At 40.4% G+C, this 18,344-nt stretch overlaps 2 protein-coding genes and 1 pseudogene across 23 annotated transcripts in view; 1 reads left to right on the forward strand and 2 right to left on the reverse strand.

The window, feature by feature from the left end:
* AOPEP (aminopeptidase O (putative)) overlaps positions 1-7,864 on the forward strand; it is a 423,526-nt gene extending 415,662 nt beyond the window's left edge. Inside the window, exon 16 of the mRNA XM_011519121.4 lies at positions 4,851-7,864. Coding sequence (XP_011517423.1) covers positions 4,851-4,943 — 93 coding nt within the window. The 3' untranslated portion in view covers positions 4,944-7,864. The remainder of the gene's footprint in view (positions 1-4,850) is intronic.
* FANCC (FA complementation group C) overlaps positions 1-18,344 on the reverse strand; it is a 218,656-nt gene that overhangs the window by 43,307 nt on the left and 157,005 nt on the right. For 16 of the 22 annotated variants that reach the window (NM_000136.3, NM_001243743.2, XM_024447451.2 and 13 more), the window contains one exon: positions 7,563-7,727. The exons of 5 other annotated variants lie outside the window; for them this stretch is intronic. In NM_000136.3, the coding sequence (NP_000127.2) occupies positions 7,563-7,727 (165 nt within the window). Of the gene's footprint in view, positions 1-1,163; positions 1,577-7,562; positions 7,728-18,344 lie in introns of those variants that run through there. One more of the 22 variants, XM_005251802.4, reaches the window with a different exon arrangement.
* On the reverse strand, positions 89-181 carry RNA5SP288 (RNA, 5S ribosomal pseudogene 288; annotated as a pseudogene).

Here is an 18,344-nt window from a genome sequence, read left to right on the forward strand (position 1 = left end):
CTCAAGTGATTCTCCTGCTTTGGCCTCCTGAGTAGCTGGGATTACAGGTGTGTGCCACTGTGCCTGTCTTTTTATTTTTATTTTTTAAAGCCTACAGCACCCGCTAATCCCCAGGCCCAACCCCCCTCAGCTTCTGAGATCAGGCAAGACTGGGCACATTTAGGGTGGAGTGGCTGTAGACGCTAATGGTTACGGGGTATTTACTGTGGATACGAGGCACTGTGCTAAGAATATTACAGTCATTCAACCCATTTAAATCTTAGTGTAAGTATTTGTCCTAGTTTGTAAGTTTATTTCTGTTATCCCACTATACTTATAAAAGGGATCTCTTTTAACTCTCAGAAGTGGCATGGTCTAGATTTTAAATCATATGGCCACCCTATTTAACACTCAGAGCCACCCCGAGCTGCGAGTGTTAGAGTGGTCAGAGACTCGTATGTCAGTCACTCCCACTACTTAGAAGCTGTTTTTACTCACAGAGCACTTCTCACACTCACTGTGTGGATTTTCTTCCTCCACACAAACCAATGCTCCCAACTCTCTAGACACCAACTGGGTGTCCAGTGATTCAATTCTGACACCATCTGGCATTAGCACACACCCCACAGGTTAAGGGCTCAGTCCCACAAGACTGCCCCCACTTCAGATGCCAATCACAGGTCTAGGCCTCTCATTCTTCTGACCAACTAGCTATAAAATCAGAGGTTCCAATGATCCTCTCTTCAGGTTTGATAATTTGCTAGAATGGCTCACAGAACTCAGGAAGACACTTTACTTGCCATTACCAATTTATTCTGAAAGATACAATTCAGGAACAGCCACATGGAAGAGATGCATGGGGCCAGGCCTGGGGGAAAGTTCTGAGCTTCCAGGCCCTCTCCAGGCACGTCACCTTCCCAGCACCTGGATGTGACCACCAATCTGGAAGCTATTTGAACCCCACAGTTTAGGTTTTTTATGGAGGTCTCACAATGTAAGCACGACTGATTAAATCGCTGGCCAGTAGTGATCAGGTCGAACTCTGGGGGTCAGGTGTGGTTGGTTCCTTTGGCTACCAGCCCCCATCCCGAGGCTATCTGGGGGCCCACCAGGAGTCACTTCATTAGCCTACACTCAGGTGTGGTGAAAAGGGACTTATGAATAATAAAAGATGCTCTTCTCACCTCATCACTCAGGAAATTTCAAGGGTTTTAGGAGCCTGGATGAAGACCAAATGCACATTTCTTATTATATCACGAGATCACCGTCATGCCTTCATTCTTTTTTTCACTTGTTCAGTGTCTCATTCATTCAGGCATATAGAACAAATTCTCCATCCAGTCTTCAAGCTTCTCAGTATTTTTGAAGCAGTGGATTCGGATGACCTCAGAGGACATGTCATGCTGTATTACTTATACTCCAGACTTACAAAAGGACCTCAGCAGCCCGCCCAGGAAGGTTTTATGCCGTCTTTAGCCTGCAGGTGCCTATGACGGCAGCCCCAGGGACAGACATGAAAAGTTGACATTTAGGCCAAGAAATTTAAAAGTTCCTCTAGGTTATCTAAACCATAAAGAGGGGCAAGCATCTGCTGTTTAAAAGACAGGCAGACCACTGCTGAAAATATATGACTGCATTTGGAAGCCAAGACCAAAGACACCAGCCAATTGTCAAACAGATGAAATTCCACTGGTGTACTGTGGTAAGCAAATAGTTGGAAGGCTAAACACGGGTTAGAGTGCATTGGTCAAAGAAAGCATGTGGTTTCCAAATGACCACGCAGCACATCTGGGGAGGGGGGGCTGGGCGCGGCTGGTAATTTGCACTGATTGATTGGATCAGCCTCGCTGTGTCAACATGTGGCTGGGATGTTCCGCCTACGGGAAAGTGTCCATGGAGAGGCTCCAGCTCTTACGCCACTGCTTGGGGAACTTGCTGAGCTGAAGCCACAGGATTTGGACACACTGAAGACCACCCAGCACTTCTGGACAGTCTGTCCCTTATGGATTAGCAGACATAACTTTCCAAACCAAATAAATTTTATGAGTTGTTGAGGGAGAACATGCTATCACAAGCAAAATTACAAGCAAGGGAGTGTGGGCCTGCTTGGGGAGCCGCTGCCCTCAGCGTCCCTCTGAGCACTGTGCTAGAGCAGGAGTAGCTGTTCTCTGGGCACGTCGCCTGGCCAGTGATTTCTCAAACAGCTTTTGGGGTTTCACAGAAGACCAGGAGTATTCACTTCCAGATTCCCTTTAATTCAGCTCTTGCTGAAAGAGTAAGGCTAGACACGGGGGTGGCTGAGACCATATTCTCCTGTGAAATATATTCCTAGATGAATCAAGAAGGGAGCTGCCACAGTGAAAGGCAAGAGCATTTTAGTTAAATATTCTTTGTAAGTATTTTGAAAAATCGCCGTGGAGAGTAAAAATGCCAGTTGGTGTGATCAGTGGTGGGGCCGTGAAGCGTGTGCTCCATTGCGGGTGTTGGGCACTGTAAGGAAAGAATCGAGCGCCGCGCCGCACGTTCACAACGCCCTTTACTCAGTATCTCACATAAGGACCAAACATAACGCTCGGACTCCTCAGAAAGCTCACTCCACTTACTGGGTGAATTTTGACAGAAGGTTTAAGAGTAGGTAGAAAAAAGGCCATTTTATTTTTTTAGCCATGAAACCTGCATTTTGACCATTTTTCGAATCAAGTGACTTAATCTTCTAATTCTCTTTTTAAATCTCACTTTCACAAAATCCTGGATTATAACCTTTCATATAAACTGAAATTAAAATATGTATCCTAATTTTTAAGAGTTATAGATTTAAAAAATGGAAATACTCTGAACTGTAAGAACAACGGTGGTTTTGAGCCTGTTTTGTTTTCCAAACGCAACAAACAACACAATGAAAATCTATTTGAAGATGGAGGAGAAGATCCATTTATGACAGTGAAAACATTGAAAACACAAATACAACAAAACATTAGGAACAAGAAATGTGTAAATCCAATGTGTGAAAAATATATACAACACTCCCTTCAGATCACAAAAGCTTAACAAATGGTAAAACGTATGTGTTCTTGAACAGGCGGACAGACAGCCTTAACATCATGAAAACGCCAGCTCTCTCGATAATCTATATACTTACAGGAGTCTTCCCCCAACAACACTGGGTGTCTTCCCTGCAACTAGAAAAATTGGTTTCAAAGTTTATGTGGAATATAAGACAAGCAATGATAGCAAAACAAACTAATAACAACCCTAGTAAAGAAGAGAAATCAAAGGGAATGATCCTTATTTTGTATTGAACACAGTTGATGCCAGCACTAAAGCAGTGATACTGCCGCACGCACATGCAAGAGACCAGAGAACCAGAACAGAAGGTAACAAAACAGGCCTGACTATGTGAGAACTGAGAATGTGACAAGGGAACCACCTAAGCCCACAGGACTGTGCTCCAGAGGCACGCACCCTTTATCACACTCAAGAGGGCGGACATGCTTTACCACCGGAGAACGGGGAAAACAACCGTATTATTTCAACAAATAATTTCAAAACAAAAAACAAAGAGGGATTGAAAGAGACTTAAAAGAACCATAAACCAAAGGCAATGTGTAGATCTGAACTCTGATTCTTTATTTTTTTTTATTTGAACTCTGATTCTAACAAACCAACTGGAAGAAAAATTCTAAGACAATCAGGATAATTTAATTCCTGACTAGATATGTGATGATGATAAGGAACTAATGTCAATTTTAAGATGTAATAATGGTATTGTAGTTTTGTTTTTTTAAAATGCATTGTATAGCAAGGAAGGGTCTACATATGTAACAATTCTCCAATTTCTCACTGAAAGTATTTAAATAAAGAATTGGGCCTGTCACAGTGGCTCATGCCTATAATCCCAACATTTTGGGAGGCCAAGACAGGCAGACTCCTTGAGCCCAGGAGTTCAAGACCAGCCTAGGCAACATGGTGAAATGCCGTCTCTACCGAAAATACAAAAAATTAGCCAGGCATGGTAGCACACACCTGTGGTCCCAGCTACTCAGGAGGCTGAGGTGGGAGGATCGCCTGAGCCTGGGAGTTTGAGACTACAGTGAGCCAAGACTGCACCACTGCACTCCAGCCTATGTGACAGAGTGAGACCCCATCTCAAAAAAAAAAAAAAAAAAAAAAAAATTGAAAACGTAAATAGTATTAATAAAATGATTTAAAAACCACAGTATTCTTAACAAAATGTCAAGTTTATAAGCAGTAAGTATCATTTTAAAATCACATTGCATGTATACCTTGAATTCGGAAATGTGAATGCTTTGGATCTCATTATCTGAGACGGAGAGGGCTCTGCAAATTATACCACACAGTGGATTCACAGTGTTTTCAAACACTGCAGACAGAGCCACTCGTAACTTGGAGTCATGACTACAGCAGTAGTCAGAGGCCATGCAACAATTTTCAAAGTGGGGTTCAAAGAACTGTTTCCAGAGAGGGAGGGAAGAACTGAGATGCGTTAAAAGAAAAAATCATTATTTAAAAAATTCTTACATTTTTCTTGGGCCTACGTGGAAACATAAGAAGAAATAAGTACACTTTGTTGGGTTTTGTAGTAATATATATTTTTTAATTTTGAAAACTTTTCTAATTTTTAAATTTTATCTAAGTTATTTTAGATAATTTTATTAGATATATATTTGTATGTATATATACAGTGTATATTTTACTTATATATTTTAATATATATTTTAGATTATTATTTTGGAATTTTACAATATTCTATTTGAAAAGTAACATTTATTTATGATGTATTTTCTTGCATTTAAGAATGGATCACTGGCTTTAAAAATGAGGATTAAAAGATTCAATTTCTCATCCTACAGATGTTTCATCAAGAAAAGATGAAACTGGCTGGCGCAGTGGCTCACGCCTGTAATCCCAGCACTTTGGGAGGCCGAGGTGGGTGGATCACCTGAGGTCGGGATTTCGAGACCAGCCTGACCAACATGGAAAACCCTGTCTCTACTAAAAACACAAAATTAGCTGGGCGTGATGGTGCATGCCTGTAATCCCAGCTACTCGGGAGGCTGAGGCAGGAGAATCACTTGAACCCGGAAGGCAGAGGTTGCGGTGAGCCGAGATTGCACCACTGTACTCCAGCCTGGGCAACAAGAGTGAAACTCTGTCTCAAAAAAGAAAAGAAAAGAAAAGATGAAACTGACACATCAGAGAATTCTCTGACTCATGAGATGGAGACATCTGCTACAGAGAAAGTGGGCTAAACTGTAAATAAAGACAAAAAATGTGAGGAAAGTTATTTTTCCCTTGCCTTTACAGATGTTAATGATTTACCTTATTGTGTCTTATGCAACAATATTTTGAATACTGTTATGGTGCAAGTTAACTGCCACATCAGTTTGAGACCAATCATTCAGAGTCTGAAGAAAAAAAATTTAAATGCAGATGTGATAAATTAATATGTCACCAAGAGAACTGTACTTCTGCCTTACAATAGAATCTCTGGACTTACTGTATTGCTTGTACTTGTCTGGTATCAGCACCAACTTAAGCACAGAAGCTCTTTTATATGAAAGTTGGCCACACACCCAAGTGGTAGGGAAATACTTAAAGTACTGAATAACTATTTTGAATCTCCTGGTTTTTCCTGGAATAACCGTGTTGACATTTGCACTGATAGCGCAAAAGCAACAGTGGGTAACACAGCTGTGTCTCAGTGGGAATCAGAGCCGAGACAGCCCTCACGCTACTCTTCACCACCACACACACACAGTCGAAACACTGCATTTTCACATATGAATGTCTGATGAAGCAGTTTAACATACTGACTTTATTAAACTGTTGCCCTCAAGGATACTTTTAAAAAAGAATTCTGTACGGTGAAAAGGAAAGTGTGCATAAAGCACTTCTGCTTCATAACAAAAAAAGACGGTTGCCTGGAGAAAAGCACTCCACTTGTACACCTGCACAACTCTTTCAGCAGTGGGCTCACTTGACCACTTTTTGTCATGGAAATTGACCTGAAAGAATGACTAGCAGACAGGCAGTGGTCAGTCACATTTTAGGATTAGGCACATACTTTCTCAATAATTAGCAAAGTGACTCAGTCCCCTAAGGAAAATGACTGACAGTGTTTGTAGCCCATGATAAATTTTAGCTTTTAAGCAGAAATTAGAATCTTGGAAAATCTATGTCCACCAACATAAGCTTGACAGCTTCCCAATACTTAAAGTCATTTCTGATGAGCTCCATGGTGGCAGTAATGACTATAGGTTTTGATACTGCATATGAAATATGTCAATGTTTGGAAGATATACATAACTCAATGAATGAAGATTTTCCAAATGAACCATGCATAATGCTACAAAATTATGTGTGTTGGCAAAAAAGATCCATTGAAAGTGCAAGACAGACCAATGGGTTTCTAATGTAACAGAGTATGGAAAGTTAACTGACATAATTTCAGATTCCACATTGCAACTACCCTTTAAAAAATGACCATTTTCAAATTTTGGTGAGCTATCAAAGCAGAATTATCCACAATGATCTGCAATGGCTACTAGAATATTCCCGCCTTTCCCAATTACTATCTATGTGGGGCTGGATTTTCTTCATACACTTCAACCAAAACAACACGTCCCACCAGAAGCAGATATGAGAATTCAGCAGTCTTAGGGTAGAAAATGAGACTTGCAAAAATGTAAAAACAATGCTGCTTTTGTCAAACATTTTTTTTTTTGCCTTGGAAAAGAGCATTGCTTTTCATAAAAATAAGCTATTTGTGTTAACGTGTAATAAAATTATTTTTATTTTTTAAGTAACAAACACATTTTTAAAAATTTAGTTTCAAATATGATAAATATTAATAAGGGTTTAACAGATTTTTAAAACTCTTGGGAATGTATGAACACAAAGAAGGAAACAATAGTCGCTGGGGCCTACCTGAGCAACGGTAGGAGGGAGAGGAGCAGAAAAGGTAACTACTGGGGACTGAGCTTAATACCTGGGTGATGAAATAATATGTACAACAAAACCCTATGACATGTGTTTACCTATGTAACAAACCTTCACATGTACCCCCAAACCTAAAATAAAAGTTAAAAATAAAAAAATAAAATGTTTTGGGATCCTCAGTAATTTTTTTTTTTTTTGAGATGGAGTCTCGCTCTGTTGCCCAGGCTGGAGTGCAGTGGCACAATCTCGGCTCACTGCAATCTCCGCCTCCCAGGTGGAAGCGATCCTCCTGACTCAGCCCCCCTAGTAGCTGGGATTAGAGGCACACACCACCATGCTTGACTAATTTTTGCATTTTTAGTAGAGACAGGGTTTCACCATGTTGGCCAGGCTGGTCTCAAACTCCTGACCTCAGGTGATCCACCCGCCTTGGCCTCCCAAAGTGCTGGGATTACAGGTGTGAGCCACCACACCTGGCCGGGATACTCAGTAATTTTTAAGAGTATAAAGGGTACTGAGACAAAAACGTTTGGACACTGCTGTCGTACAGTCTTTCCAACACACCACAGCCTTCTAAGAAAAGGAAAAACGACGCAGGATGACAGGAAACATTTGCCACTTACAGCAAAATGGCCTCGTTTACAGCCTCAAAGAACTCTGGCTGGAGGATTTCCTGAGGTTCACGTCCATGACAGATGAGGAGAGCCTCCACCAGGGGGTCAACATCTGTCAGGGTAATAAGTGGGACACAAACTCGTGACAGGGACGCCACTCGCTCGGGAGCCATTCTATGGAAGAAATAAGAAATAATCACTCAAATCTAAGAGCCATGCATAATTAAGGACATATAAAAACCTTCATGCTAAAAAGGTCAAAGACAGATCACCTGTTTTGCCTCTAAATAAAGAGAATGACTCTAACACCATCGATGAACACTTCTCTTTTATCCAATTCTTTAGGAAGAAATCTTTTAGCTACCATTGCTGTTTCAGTGTCATTCATGGTCAGGACTTTGTTCTTTATATTCACAGGCACTTAATATGTCCAAAACACAACTCCTGAATTCCCTTCCCAGTGTTCCCTTTCCCCAGTGCTATCTTGTTTGCTCAGGCCCAAATCCTGATTCCTCCCTTTCTCTCAGGCCCCTCATCTGATCCATCAGTGAATACTAGCAACACATCTGACCTCTTCTGAACACCTCCATCACTGTCCTCCTAAGTGGAGAGTAACTCACCACCACCTCTAGCCTGGGTGACAGAGTAGCCTCTGGATTTCTTGTTTCTGCACTCACTCCTATAGTTTAACATCAGAACAGTTCCAGCACCCCTTTAAAAATTCCGATCACAACACTTGTCTGCTCAAAGCTTTGCAATGGCTTCTCACCTCATGTAGAGAATAAGCAATGTCTTTCACTAGCCAGCAAGTCCTTCCATGGTGGGTCCCCATCTGTTTCACTGACTTAATCTCCTTCCACTCTTACCTTTGTCTTTTCTGCCTCTGACTGCCCCAAATAAAGTCCTGCTGTTCACTCTGCCTGAAATACATGATTAGCTCCCTGGTTGCAGCTCAAATGTCCCTTTGTTAAGTGAGGTCTTCTCTGATCATCCCATGTCACTATACTGTCTACCATGTGTGGCAATTTAAATGCAAATGAATTAAAATGAAATAAAATTAAAAATCCAGCTCCTCAACTGCACTAGTCACAGTTCAAGTGCTCAACAGCTATAGGTGGCTGGCGGCTACAGTACCGAACAGTGCACATTTACAGGATGTGCCTGGGACTGCAGAAAGCGCCACTGGACACTCGAGCTTCAAGTGCCCTCTTACCCGTGCTTTACTTCTCTTCCTGGTACCTTTCACCACCTGACCTACACAGTATTCCCTTATAGTACTCATGGTTCGCTTCCTCCTCTGAGGGCAGAAGCTCTACAATGGCAGGCAGCTTCTCCTACTTTGCCCACCGCTCTATTCCTAGCACCTAGGGATAACTCCTCACACACAGCACGTGCTCAACAAATCCGTCTCCAGTGAATGATAAATAAAATGAAAGTTCTGGGTGGAGGCTATTCTAGGTATTTTCATATGTAATTGTAAATATAGAAATTTAGTCTTGTGTTTTGTGAAACACAAATGAAACCACAGTATAGAGCATGTAGCTGTTCCTCATTCTTAAAAACTTGCTGCCTATTATTAAAACAAACATGTTCTGTAATTTAACAATGCCACTATCAGTAGGCACTGAGGCTGTTTCTGGTTTTTCACTATTCAGACAGGGCTGTGGTGCTACCCTTGCCCATGCCTGTCTGTGCCCATGTGTGAGTATTTGCATACTGAATTGCCTTCCAAGGCCAGGGGTGGTGGCTCACACATGGAGACCCAGCACTTTGAAAGGCTGAGGCAGGCAGATCGCTTGATCCCAGAAGTTTAAGACCAGCACAGGTAACATGGAGAAACCCCAACTCTACAAAAAATACAAAAATTAGCCAGGTGTGGTGGCTTACGCCTGCGTTGCAGCTACTCGGGGGGGCGGAGGTGGGAGGGTTGCTTGAGCCCAAGAGGTCAAGGCTGCAGTGAGCTGTGTTCATACCACTGCACTCCAGCCTGGGAGACAAGAGCGAGACCTGTCTCAAAAAAAAAAAAACAAAAAACAAAAAACAAAACAAAAAAAAACTGCCTTGCAAAAGACCACACCAATTTACTTTTCCACCCTTTCCAATTATATCATTATTTGTTTCTATTTCTTGCAAATTTAACGGACAAAAATTGCTATTTCTTTGCCTTAATTTGCATTTTCCTGATAACTTGTGAGACAGTAATTGTTACCCACTTGTATTTCCTCTTCAGAGAATTTGTTTATATATTTGTGTATCTTTGTCCTATTTGTTCATTTAATACCTATTTATTGATCCCCTACTGTAGTCAAGGCTCTGTTTGAGGTGTACATGACACAGATGCAAAGATGACAATGTCTCATCAGGGAGAGGAACAATATAATGCCAGATGATACTGAGTGTCATGCTGAAAAGTAAAGAATACTCAGAAGTGACAGAAATTTACCAAGAAGGTGATATGTGAGCAGAGCTCTGAAGGAAGTACATGAACAAGCACGTATATATCTGGGAAGAAAACATTGCAGACAGATGAAAAGCAAAAGCAAAGGCCCTCAGCATCTGAAAATAGCAAGGGGACCAACGTGGCCACACCCAGTGAACCGGGGAGGATGGCGGAAAGGCTTCTGTAGATCACTGTAGGGGCCTGCATATTCTTTTTGTAAAAATTTAGTTTTCATTTTTATGAAATTAATAAATGCAACTATATTTTTTGTTTAGACTATTTACTTTAAAATTTTTATTTTAATAGCTTGTGGGTAAAAGTAGTTTTTTGTTACATGGATGAATTGTATAGTGGTAAATTCTGAGATTTTAATGCATCCATCACCCGAGTAGACTGCACCTAATGTGTAGTTTTTTTCACTACCCCCCATCCCACTCTCCTCCCCCTTCTGAGTCTCTGAAGTCCATTATGTCACTCTGTATGCCAGCGATGTCCAATCTTTTTGGCTTCCTTCTTTTTGGAAAAAGAAGAATCGTCTTGGGTTACACACTAAATACACTAATACCAACGATAGTTGATGAGCTTAAAAAAAATCGCAAAAAAACTATGTTTTAAGCAAGTTTACAGATTTGTGTTGGGCAGCATTCAAAGCTGTCCTGGGCTGCATGTAGCCCATGGGCCACAGGTTCGACAAGCTTGTTGTATGTCTCTGTGTACTCATAGCTTAGCTCCCACTAATAAGTGAGAACATAACAGTTTGTGATTTTCCACTCCTGTGTTACTTCACTTAAAATAATGGCCTCCAGCTCCATTCAAGTTGCTGCAAATATTATTTTGTTCCTTTTAATGGCTGAGTAGTGTATATATACCATATTTTCTTTATCCACTGATTGGTGGATGGGCACTTATGTTGGTTCCACATCTTTGCAATTGTTAACTGTGATGCTATAAAAATACATATGCAAGTGGTTTTTTTTTTATATAAAGACATCTTTTCCTTTGGGTAGATAGCCAGTAGTGTAATTGCTGGATCAAATAGATCTACTTTTAGCTTTTTGAGGAATCTCCATACTGTTTTCCATAGAGGTTGCACTAATTTATATTCCCACCAGCAGGTATAAGTGTTCTCTTTTCCCCACATCCATGCCAACATCTAAAAGGCCATTCTTGCAGGAGTAAGGTGGTATCTCATTGTGGTTTTAATTTGCATTTCCCTGATGATTCGTGATGTTGAGCATTTTTTCATATGCTTGGCCATTTGTACATCTTCTTTTGAGAAATATCTATCATATCCTTTGCCCACTGTTTGATGGGATTGCTTTTTTCTTGATTTGAGTTCCTTGTAGATTCTGAATACTAGTCCTTTGTCAGATGCATAGTTTGCAATATTTTCTCCCACTCTGTTGGTTGTCTGTTTATTTCTTTGATGTAACTACTTGAAATGGTCAAATAGTTATTCAAAGTTAATCAAAATAGTAGCTTTTGAAAGGGCATTCCTATCCCCATTTTCTGATGTCCAGAAATTACTTTCAACCCTAATTAATTCTTTAGTACTTCAATGTGTTGTTTGTTGTTCAATACAAACTATAACATCAAATTTGTAGTGGGAGGGCTGGGTGTGGTGGCTCATGCCTGTAATCCCAGCACTTTGGGAGGCCGAGGAGGGCAGATCACCTGAGGTCAGGAGTACGAGACCAGCCTGATCAATATGGTGAAACCCCATCTCTACTAAAAATACAAAAATTAGCCAGGCATGGTGGTGGGCACCTGTAGTCCCAGCTACTCAGGAGGCTGAGACAGGAGAATTGCTTGAATCCAGGAGGTGGAGATTGCAGTGAGCTGACATCACGCCACTGCATTCCAGCCAGGGTGACAGAGCAAGACTCCGTCTCAAAAAAAAAAAAAAAAAAAAAAAAAATTGTAGTGGGAAATCCATCAGATTACAGAGAAAAGAGAACTCCAGGATGTTTCTGATAGGAACATAAATAAATAAGCACAAACACTTTGGAGAACAACTGGTAGCAACGTGCTACCATTTCTTCTTACAGGTTAGGGAGACAAACAGGACTGTTTGTAAAAGGTAGATTCAATCTTGCTGTGAATTTGTACAGAAATGAATAAATGATTATTTATTTACAGAATGGAATGCTATATGGCAGTTTAAATGAATAAACTGTACCTACATTATCTGCATACATAAATCTCAAAAGTTGAATGAATGAAGAAAGCAAGTTGCATAAAGATATCCACAATACACCATCCTTATGTAAAGTTTTAAAGCACAGCGAAATGTGAAGTAAAAGTGTTAAAACATGGCAGGAAGAATCTACACCCCACTTCTTGGGCGTGCTTGCTCCAGCGGGGAGAATAAAGAAATGGAATAGGAGAAGGATGCTTCAGCTCTAATTGAAACTTTTTCTTAAAAATATCAAATATAAATAAAATGTTAGCACTATAAAACCTGGGCAACAGGCACACAGTTTTTCCATGACATAAGTGTTTTATAATAAAACTTTTAAAAAACTAAAATACAATGTTAACTAGTAAAATACTGAAAATGAAAATATTCATGCTAGGTGTGGTAGCTTATGTCTGCAATCCCAGAACTTTGGGAGGTTAAGGTGGGTGGACTGCTTCAGCCCAGGAGTTTGAGATAAGCCTGGGCAACATGGTGAAACCCTGCCTCTACAAAAAAATACAAAAATTAGCTGGGTGTGGTGGCACACGCCTGTAGTCCCAGCCACTCGGGAGGCTGAGGTGGGAGGATGGCTTGAGTCCAGGAGGTGGAGGTTGGGGTGAGCTGAGATCATGCCACTGCACTCTGGCCTGGGCAACAAAGTGAGACCCTGTCAAAAAAAGAAAGGAAAGAGAGAGCGAGAGAAAAGAGAGAGGGGAGGGGAGGGGAGGGGAGGGGAGGAAAGGGGAGGGGAAGGAAGGGGACGGAAGGGGAGAGGAGGGGAGGGGAGGGGAGGGGAGGAAGGAAGGGAGGAAGGGAGGGAGGGAGGGAGGGAGGGAGGGAGGAAAAAGAAAATATTCGTAATAAAGGAGTTACTTCCTGCCTCAGGTTCTTATTTCCAAAACAGCAAAAGTAGCTCATTAAAAACTAATCATCCTTAATCAGTCTTAAATTGCTTAGTATTTATTTCCCTCTGGAGTATTTTTTCCCCTTTATTTACATCTTTTTTTGCACTCTTCCCATTATTTGATTCTACTGGTCTCTTTTCAGGGTATTTCTATAGAATTATTTGTGCTTTTCATTTTCTCACCCTTGGACAGAAGACAAGCAGTTCACAGAGGTTTTTAAAGTCTCCTGGACCACAATTAAAAGACTCTGCTGGATGGTATCAGCTGAAACAATCTTCTTTTCTCTTTCTTTCTTTTTGAGACAGGGTCTTGCTCTGTCACCCAGGCTAGAGTGCAGTGGTGCAGTCTTGGCTCACTGCAACCTCAACCTCCCCAGGCTCAAGCGATGCTCCCACCTCAGCCTCCCTAGTAGCTGGGATTACAGGTGCTTGCCACCACATCTGGCTTTTTTTGGGTTTTTTTTTTTTTTGTAGATATGGGGTTTCTCCATGTTGCCCAGGCTGGTCTCAAACTCCTGGGTTCAAGCAATCCTCCCACCCTGGCCTCCCAAATTGCTGGGATTACAGGAGTGAGCCACTGTGCCAAGGCTGAAACAACTTTTATAGATTAAAAATTTGCCTTTGTGCCAGATTGTGCCACTTTGGAAGAGGTTTATTCTCTAGTTTATAATTGGTTTTTGGTGTTGTTGTTGTTGTTAAGAATGCTTGTTTTTCAAAAGTAATATGAACAAATTCCCTGGCACAGAGCGAAGTCCACTGAAGGATGTCCATGCTGGCATCCCAGCTGGCAGGAGTAGCAAGGATAAAATTGGAATTAATTTAGTTAGCAGTTCAGGATATTCCTAGTCAAAGCAAAGCTATGATACAATCAGTAAAATTCTTAACTGAATTTACTAAGAATATGAGATGCCTGTGCTAGCAGAGTGCTCCCTGTAAACCAACACATCCGATACATTCCTAATTTGCTCTACTGAATGATGTTTAGAATCTTTTCTTTAAAGAATTTTATAATTCAACCAGATAAATTTGTCCAGGTACTTTTCTGAATGTGTTGAGCCCTTATATATAGTTTTTAAGATAATTCAATCTCTTGGACTGAGTTCATTTATACCTATCAGAAGATTGAATTTAAAAAGCAATTTGATGCGTAACATGCTTTTTGAGCCCTTTTAGAAGCTTTTGTGATCACCATTCATAAAATTTTAACTTGGATTCTTAAAAGCTTGTGTGAGAACAAAACTTTTCAAGTCCACAGTTCTCCAGTGAATTATAAATTCTGCCAAGTGTATTCTTCTATCTCAAGTAGAAGCCGGTTTAATGAAATCAGGTAACATCTCTGACACCATGATAACCTTTGCAAAACAGCTGTCAACCACGCTGCAGCCATCATAATTTTTGCTGTCATTAATAATAACAATTAAAATAGGTATCATAATACCACATAACTTTCTACTACATATCTGAAGTTCTCTGTCCACTTTTAAGATTTACAAATTGAAACAATTAAATCAGAACACAGCATAACAGGCAAACTACTTTCCAGTATATGCTTAAAGTCAGGAGAGTCCCATCCACCTATGAATCTAAGTTTCTAATTCCTCTCCTTTCACAAGTATGACTTCAAATGTCGAAGCAGCCAAGAGCTCCCAAACTTAAGCACCATATAAACAATGCTATGCTGTTTTCCTGTGTTTTTTTTTCCTTCTAGAAGGCATCTATGCATTTATTTTTTCTAATTTTTTAGCACTTCAGTGTCTAAAGTTCATTTCCAAAGATTCAAAAAGTCTCAGAAAATATAGAAATTGATCTCATAATTTCAGATGCACAGATCGCCAGAGGAACAAAAAAAGTGGGAAAATTAGCTTACTTTCTTTTTGCATTATTTTTAGAGGCCTGATAAATGGTGTTGTCATAGGGCTTTAAATAGAGTTTCACTTGCCACCAAGTAAAGTCAACAATTCAGTGACAGAATGTTTAAATTCTATCCTATTCTTTGCTACAAACCATCTAGAAGGAGCAACATTCTGAGCATCGTCAGCTTATCCTGTAGCTCTATGGTTTGGGGCAGATGGTTTGGAAGCTACAATACAACCACACAGAAAGGATGTTCCCAGCAGTACATGGTTACCGTCTAGCCTTCTGCAGTTGAATTCTTGTGCAGAAATTATTTGGAAGTGCTGCTCTGGCAACCAGTCAAGACCTAATGCTTAGTGTAATTCAATCTGGAAAGTGTTGCGTAACTCTCCACTTGAACTTGGATCTCCACACTCTGACAAACTTCAGACCAAAAGAGGAGCCATGAAGGCTGCGTGCACCTTGAAGTTCTTGGGAAGGTTATCAGTTGGCCTGCCCAAATTTTGGTATACCCAAGAACTACCTGTCTTTATGAGATTTTTTAAATTTTTCAGGAAAATTATCCTGGATCATTTCCAGCCTAAACAGAAGATATAATCTGCAGCCATGAACTGCAATACTTGATAAATGTCCCCAGAACCACAGTCTTTCCACCCACTCAGTCCCCAGTAATAATCTCTGACTCTTCTCATTTCCTCTTTTCAGATGAGAGAAAAGTTGCGCTTAGAGATCTTTTAGGGAGGAAGATTGATGAGTCAGGCTGGAGACCTGCCTGCCTATTTGAGACGCTACATGAGTGATGCACACAGGCAACTCTCCGGCCTACCTTTCAATTGCACAAACATCCATCCCGCCCTAACTCTATGCAATATATTCTGCTAGGCTATGTGCAAAGTATACACCTTCACACACACCCCCACATACCTCTTCCTCTACCAGCCCACCCACTAAGCTCATATATTCCAAAAATTTAAGATATTTACAACTCATGCTAAATGTGTCTTTTTGTTAACAACTTAGATGATAGACTCAAAAAGCATATTAATTAATTTTAGATCTAAAACCATCTTGGTGGTAAGAGAACGATGATAAAGCACTATGGAAGGTAAATGTTGAAAGGATATCTGCCACTTAAGAAGCGGTAGAGAACAGGAAGAACAATTTAGAAAAGGTGAATATTTGAGGAGAAAAGACAAACTGTTCACACATAATAGATCACTATGGGTAGCTTGGCAAAAAATTATCTTTATGAGAATTTACTATTATCAAGAATACAGCAAAAATATTAACAATTTATAGGAATTCATCAACAAAAATAAAAACCGTAAATAAAATTCTATCATGTCACCATAAAGTATTCAGATTGTTACCAGGGATTGATATGCAGTTATGGGAACTGCTTCTAAAGAAGTAGTGTAGAGCAGCATTTCTTGAACTTCCAGAGAGTATGTCTGGACAGATGTTTTTAAAAAGTCATATTTCTTGGTCTCTGCCCGAGGGATGTTGATGCTGCTGATTGGTAGGGCCACACTTTGAGTAGCTCTGGTGTAGAACTGCTACACATCCTGAGGACTCAAAGGCAAGACCTATGAAGAATGGTGACTCTCTTAATCTAGTCAAGAGAAAATAAGATGAAAATGTAACCTAAGAGACTGCATCAAGCAATGAACTAAGGACACGGATGTCCTAGCATTCATGCTATACTCCCAACTGCTAGAAATGATGGAAGAATTTTTTTTGACCTTTTTTTTTTTAATTATACTTCAAGTTCTAGGGTACACATGCACAACGTGCAGGTTTGTTACATAGGTATACACGTGCCATGTTGGTTTGCTGCACCCATTACCTCATCATTTACATTGGGTATTTCTCCTAATGCTATCCCTCCCCTTGCCCCCCACTCCACAACAAGCCCCAGGGTGTGATGTTCCCCACCCTGTGTCCAAGTGTTCTCATTGTTCAATTCCTACCTGTGAGTGAGAACATGTGGTGTTTGGTTTTCTGTCCTTGTGAGAGTTTGCTCAGAATGATGGTTTCCAGCTACATCCATGTCCATGCAAAGGACATGAACTCATCCTTTTTTATGGCTGCATAGCATTCCATGGTGTATTTGTGCCACATTTTCTTAATCCAGTCTATCATTGATGGACATTTAGGTTCATTCCAAGTCTTTGCTATTGTGAATAGTGCCGCAATAAACATACGTGTGCATGTATCTTTATAGAAGCATGATTTATAATCCTTTGGGTATATACCCAGTAATGGGATAGCTGGATCAAATGGTATTTCTAGTTCTAGATGCTTGAGGAATCGCCACACTGTCTTCCACAATGGTTGAACTAGTTTACACTCCCATCAACAGTGCAAAAGCATTCCTATTTCTCCACATCCTCTCCAGCACCTGTTGTTTCCTGACTTTTTAATGATCGCCATTCTAACTGGTGTGAGATGGTATCTCATTGTGGTTTTGATTTGCATTTCTCTCATGACCAGTGATGATGAGCATTTTTCCATGTGTCTGTTGGCTGCATAAATGTCTTGAGAGTGTCTGTTCATATTTTTTGCCCAATTTTTGATGGGGTTGTTTGTTTTCTTCTTGTAAATTTGTTTAAGTTCTTTGTAGATTCTGGATATTAGCCCTTTGTCAGATGGCTAGATTGCAAAAATTTTCTCCCATTCTGTAGGTTGCCTGTTCACTCTGATGGTAGTTTCTTTTGCTGTGCAGAAGCTCTTTAGTTTAATTAGATCCCATTTGTCTATTTTGGCTTTTGCTGCCATTGCTTTTGGTGTTTTAGTCATGAAGTCCTTGTCCATGACTAGGTCCTGAATGGTATTGCCTAGATTTTCTTCTAGGATTTTTATGGTTTTAGGTCTAACATTTAAGTCTTTAATCCATCTTGAATTAATTTTTATATAAGGTGTAAGGAAGGGATCCAGTTTCAGCTTTCTACATATGGCTAGCCAGTTTTCCCAGCACCATTTATTAAATAGGGAATCCTTTCCCCATTTCTTGCTTTTGTCAGGTTTGTCAAAGATTGGATGGCTGTAGATGTGTGGTGTTATTTCTGAGGCCTCTGTTCTGTTCCATTGGTCTATATCTCTGTTTTGGTACCAGTACCATGCTGTTTTGGTTACTACAGACTTGTAGTACAGTTTGAAGTCAGGTAGCATGATGCCTCCAGCTTTGTTCTTTTTGCTTAGGATTGTCTTGGCAATGTGGGCTCTTTTTTGGTTCCACATGAACTTCAAAGTAGTTTTTTCCAATTCTGTGAAGAAAGTCATTGGTAGCTTGATGGGGATGGCATTGAATCTATAAATTACCTTGGGCAGTATGGCCATTTTGATGATATTGATTCTTCCTATCCATGAGCATGGAATGTTCTTCCGTTTGTTTGTGTCTTCTTTTATTTCCTT

This window comes from Homo sapiens, chromosome 9 (genome assembly GCF_000001405.40).
Source record: "Homo sapiens chromosome 9, GRCh38.p14 Primary Assembly".
NCBI classification, from domain to species: Eukaryota; Metazoa; Chordata; class Mammalia; order Primates; family Hominidae; genus Homo; species Homo sapiens.